Source organism: Homo sapiens, chromosome X, assembly GCF_000001405.40.
Source record: "Homo sapiens chromosome X, GRCh38.p14 Primary Assembly".
Classification (NCBI taxonomy): Eukaryota; Metazoa; Chordata; class Mammalia; order Primates; family Hominidae; genus Homo; species Homo sapiens.
In genome coordinates, this window is record NC_000023.11 from 124,171,188 (window position 1) to 124,177,102 (window position 5,915).

Below are 5,915 nucleotides of genomic sequence, written 5' to 3' on the forward strand. Positions count from 1 at the left end.
CAGAAGGCTTGGCATCCTCATGTTGACTGAACTGTCTTTTCCTTCAGGCTGGAGGAAGGGCAACCCTGCATCCATCAGTTCAGGAAATATCGGCAAGCACTGTAGGGTGCTGTGGTCTGAGACAATAGCAACACTGGTGGAAATCACAAGTCCTACATCCCTGTCAAGTAAGGCTTCTATTATCTGGAGTGCAGTGGTGCAATCTCAACTCATTGCAACCTCTGCCCCCCGGGTTCAAGCGATTCTTGTGTCTCAGCCTCCTGAGTAACTGGGATTACTGATGTGCACCACCACGCCTGGTTAATTTTTGTAGTAGAGATGGGGTTTTACCATGTTGGCCAGGCTGGTCTTGAACTCCTGGCCTCAAGTGATCTGCCTGCCTTGGCCTCCCAAAGTGCTGGGGTTACAGGTGTGAGCCACTGGGCCCAGCCAGACTTCTATTATCTTTATCCTTTTCCTGCTTCTACAGCAACAGACTTGACGTAAACAACCCAGAAAGTCAACAAGAATAAAAAAAACTAATTATTTTTGCTGACAATGACCTCAGCTATTGGTGATACACAGATTTCTAGGTCCTGTCACTTGCTCAAAGCCACAGTCACAGGAAGATTTGTAAATGCACTTTTATAAGGGGCACATTCCAAGTAGCTTGCTGCAGTCTCCGCCATATCCAGTATTTCTGGACCAATTATAGTTCACACCTGACTCCCATTGTCTTCTGAGTGACATCAGCCTATGGAATGTTTGATATCAGGGCATGTCTCCTTATAGAATCTTGTGAAAAACTTCTCAACAGTCCTGGGCATCATATGACGTCCTCTAGGAACAATGGAACAAATTTGTCCTATTCCCCGAAGCACAGGTGCTTGTCATAATAGCTGGCTTTTCCTCAGGATAACCTCTAGTCTCACAGAAAGTATAGGCTCCAGGCCACAAATTAGAATAACCAAAACCTTGCATTGTTTCCTAGGAGATCTTAGGTAGCAAAACAAATATGACCAAAATCAGAGTGAGAATTACTCTGTCATTTTACTTTTTCTGTAGAGGCCCACAAAAGCTGTCCACTCCTTCATATAGAGTTCAAGTCTGTTTGCCACCCACCCCACATAGTAAACAAAACCCCAAGATTACAGGTAGATTCAAATATAAGGCCTTTAGTGGTGGTGCATGCCTGTAGTCCCAGCTACTCAGGAGGCTGAGGTGTGATAATTGTTTGAACCTGGGAGGTGGAGGTTGCAGTGAGCTGAAATCTCACCACTGCACTCCAGCCTGGGTGACAGAGGGAGACCCTGTCTAAAAAAAAGGTATATATATATATATATATATATATATATAGAGAGAGAGAGAGAGAGAGAGAGAGCGCCTTTGTTAGTGCACAAACTGGAACAATGTGAGGCAGCCAGTTGCCAGGTGGTGACTTGGAGGCTGGAAGAATGACCAAGAGTCGTGTGAGACCAAGAATTTCCATGAAGGGAAGCCTTCTTCCACCAGAACCCAGGCTGGGACCTCCTGACCAAAACTGGGTCAGATGTGTGCTGTGATCAGTCAGAAAAGAGAATGAATTTCCCCAATAGGCTCAGACTGCTCAAGATTTCCTCCAAAGAAGAAAAGAACACACAGATGTCTGCCTTGCCTCAGAATATCAGGGTGACCAATGCCTACTGTGCAAGGTGGTAGAGGGGAGACGGTTTCTACCAAAGAAACTTGGAAGCATAAGGTTCAACTTCAGGCAGGTGGCTCCCTCCTAAAGGCTCTCCACTGCCACAATACTACAGAGACAGCACATTCTCTCTAGGTCTAAGGCTCTTCTGAAGTGTGGACTTTCAGGAGCTAAAAGATGATAGATCTTGAAGGTAAACACTCTTCCACATTTGCTGCATTCATGAGGCCTCCACGTGTTATGACATTTTTGGTGATGAATGAGGCTGGCGCACTGGCTAAAGGAATTCCCACATTGGTTGCACTCATAAGGCCTTTCTCCAGTGAGAACCACCTGGTGTTGAATAAGGCCAGACTTTTGACTAAAGAACTTTCCATGCTGGCCACACTCATAAGGCCTTGCTCCAATATGAATTCTCCCATGTTGAATAAGGATGGAGGCCTTTCTCCAGTGTGAACTCTCTGGTGCTAAACAAGTGAGTACTTGCCACAGAAGGCTTCCCCACATTTGCCATTTTTTGTTTTGTTTTGTTTTTTGTTTTTGAGACAGACTTTCACTCTGTTGTCCAGGCTAGAGTGCAGTGATGTGATGTCAGCTCACTGCAACCTTTGCCTCCTGGGTTCAAGCAATTCTCCTACCTCAGCCTCCCAAGTAGCTGGGACTACAGGTGCACACCACCACACCTGGCTAATTTTTTTTTTTTTTGTATTTTTAGTAGAGAGGGTTTCACCATATTGGCCAGGCTGGTCTCAAACTCCTGACCTCAGGTGATCCGCCCACCTCGGCCTTGAAAAGTGTTGGGATTACAGGTGTAAGCCACTGCGCCCAGCCAGCTTTCCCACATTTGATACACTCATAAAGGCTTTGTCCAGTGTAAACTCTTAGACAGTGAACAGGAGTGCTTGTGCCTGGAAGCCTTCCCACACTGACCTGACTTGTAATGACTTTTTTGACTGTGAGTGTCCTCTCCACATTTGGTGATCGTGTTGGGCTTCTCAGTTTTAGGAAAGACCAGGGACCTAGAAGCCCCAAGATGGCTGGGAGGTCCTTCCCAACCTCGCATTTGCGGAAGGGCTTCCCTGACATATGGAAAAGGCAGTGCTTCACTTACGAGGCTCTGTCCATGTCCCTCTTCAAGGATTTCTTTGCACTGTGATGTTTCTGGTGCTGGTACTGGTTTGCACGTGCTCCAACCAAGTAAGGTTCCCGCCCAGGGAGATTAGCCAGAGGCAAGATATCTTTCAGGAATGGAACATATATCTCCCGGGGTTGAGTCTTCAGTGTGGATGAACCTGCCTTAAACTGTGACACTCCCACAGAAACATTCTGCTCAGAAGGTGTCTCTTCATCCTCTTTACCATGCCCACAACCCAGTGAGGCTACTTTTACAAGAGGCACATTCCAACTAGTTTGCTGCAGGCTCCACCACGCCCAGTATTTCTGTACAAAATCCTGGGTAAAATACAAGTGCAAAGTTCTCCAGCATCACTTCAAGGTATAGGAGCCTCCAAGCCTCATCAGGCAGTCCCTACTCGTCCTGTGAGAAGTAAATGGCGATGTCCTCAAAGGTCATACAGCCCTTTGTGAGATTTATATGTTCTTCTGTAGTCATGGTAACCTGAGCCAGGGCCCTCAGTTCTGCCGCTGCCATTGGAACCTGTGGACGGTGCGGGACCTGGACCGGGACCGGGACAAGGACCAAGACCAGCGCGGTGACCCGAGCAAAGCTGTCACCCCCGCCGCCGCCGACCCCCATACCCGCCACTGTTCAGCAGGAGGGCCCCTCCCCTCGCCCCTTCCTGCCCTCTCGCCAAACGATGCGCTCCCAAAGCTCTGACGGCCTGGATGGACTCAAGAGCTGCTAAAATGACTGTCACTGGAGCAATACCCTGTCTTTTTTTTTTTTTTTTTTTTTTTTTTTTTGAGACAGAGTCTCGCTCTGTCGCCCAGGCTGGAGTGCAATGGCGCGATCTCGGCTCACTGCAACCTCCGCCTCCTGGGTTCAAGCGATTCTCCTGACTCAGCCTCCCAAGTAGCTGGGATTACAGGCACCCACCACCACGCCCAGCTAATTTTTGTATTTTTAGTAGAGACGGGGTTTCACCATGTTGGTCAGGCTGGTCTCAAAATCCTGACCTCAGGTGATCCACCCGCCTCAGCCTCCCAAAGTGATGGGATTACAGGCGTAAGCCACTGCGCCCGGCCTCTTTTGTATAGGTAAATAATGATCAAATATTGCAACTTTATACGGTTTATCCTAATATTTAAGGCTAAAAACTTGCTGTAAGCACTGGTATTTCCCGTAAGTTAAAATATTGATGTTACAAAATTATTTCTTGTTGATGAGTGCATTTATTTATAGTAAAAGTGCAAATCAGGCATAGGAAAGATACACACCAGTTTTAGGATAGTAGTTACTTTAGAGAAGGAAGGGATGATGAAGGAATATAGATGTAACATTTTATTTCTTACAAATACAGCATTAAAATATAAATAAACATGTATAGCAAATAAGGCAGGAGAGTAACATCTGTTTAATTTTGTTAGTGGGTAAATCCCACAAGATTTTATACTTAGATTTTTTTATCATTCAGTTGAAAATATTTCTTATTTAATTATGATCTGTGATTTCTTTTTTTTCCCCTCAGGCCTGGCCTGGGAGAGCGTGTCGTCACCACATGGATCTATGATTTCTTTTTAAAAAGTCTTTGAGTTGTTTGGAAGTCTATTTTAAGACTTCTGAGCACATAGATATTTTCTAGTTATATTTATTTGTGTGTGTGTGTGTGTGTGTGTGCGCGCGTGTGTTTGTATAAAAAGAGAAAAAGAGAGAGAGAGATGTGGTAACATCTCGCATTACATTTGGGAAATTTTGGTGAAGGGTATGCCATAATTCTTTTTTAGTATTCTTACAACTTTTCTATAACTCTAAAATTACGTCAAAATAAAAGTTTATAAAAAATAAAAAAAAGCCTTCTCTGCAGACTCATGTTTAAAATAAAATTTGCTTCATATGATATTGATTTTTTAAATGCTATATATTTTGTATGATCATAGCTGTAAATAGCCATCGCACTCCAGCCTGGGCAACATAGTGAGACCCCATCTTTAAAAACCAACCAAACAAGGCCGAGTGTGGTGGCTCATGCCTGTAATCCCAGCACTGTGGGAGGCCGAGGTGGGCAGATCACTTGAGGTCAGGAGTTCGAGACCAGCCTGGCTAACATGGCAAAACCCCATCTCTACTAAAAATACAAAAATTAGCCAGGCATGGTGGCACGTGCCTGTAGTCCTAGCTACTTGGGAAGCTGAGGTATGAAAATCGCTTGAAACCGGGAGGTGGAGATTGCAATGAGCCAAGTTTGCACCACTGCACTCCAGCCTGGGTGACAGAGCGAGACCCTGTCTCAAAATAAAATAAAATAAAATCCAACCAAATAAATAAACAACCTTTTATTTTAAACTTTATCCTTTTAGTTCTTTCTTTTACAGTATATTTAAGGAATTGATATGCTAAAATACTGTAATACTCTTATATTTGATATTGAGTATTCCTCATGACTATTTCCAGTTATGGTGTATCTGATTCAGTTATCAAAATTAGCCTGTGTTTTTCCTATCTGGAGAAATGCATCATGTTATTAAATATTTTAATTTTTATAAATTTCCATAAAAATTATTAATATTGTTTTATATAGTCAATATCCATTTGCCCACATAGTATTTTCTTTGCTCTTCGTTAAAAAAAAAAAAATCTCAGTTCTGGCTGGGCATAGTGGCTCATGCCTGTAATTTGAGCACTTTGCGAGGCTGAGGTGGGAGGATCACTTGAGGCCAGGGGTTCAAGACTTTAAGACCAGCCTGGGCAACATAATGAGACCCCATCTCTAGCAAAAATAAAAAATTGGCCAGGTGTGGCGGTGCATGACTGTAGTCCCAGCTACTTGGGAGGATGAGGCAGGAGGATCACTGAGCCCAGGAATTCATGGCTGAGCCAAGATTACACCACTGCACTCCCGCTTGGGTGACAGAGTGAGACTCCGTCTTTAAAAAAAAGTAAAGAAAAAAATCTCAGCTTTGACATTTAGAATAATTTTTCTTTCTCAGGTACATCATTTAGAATTACCTGTAGTGTGAGTCTACTGCTAGCAAACTCTCACGTTTTGCTTGTCTAAAAATATATTTCACTTCAATTTTTTTACTTAGAACTACTTAAAAAAATACATGTAAAATTTAACAATGTCATGATTGTTCT

The 5,915-nt window shown here is 43.7% G+C and overlaps 1 pseudogene; it reads right to left on the reverse strand.

The window, feature by feature from the left end:
• ZIK1P1 (zinc finger protein interacting with K protein 1 pseudogene 1) lies at positions 1,548-3,511 on the reverse strand (annotated as a pseudogene).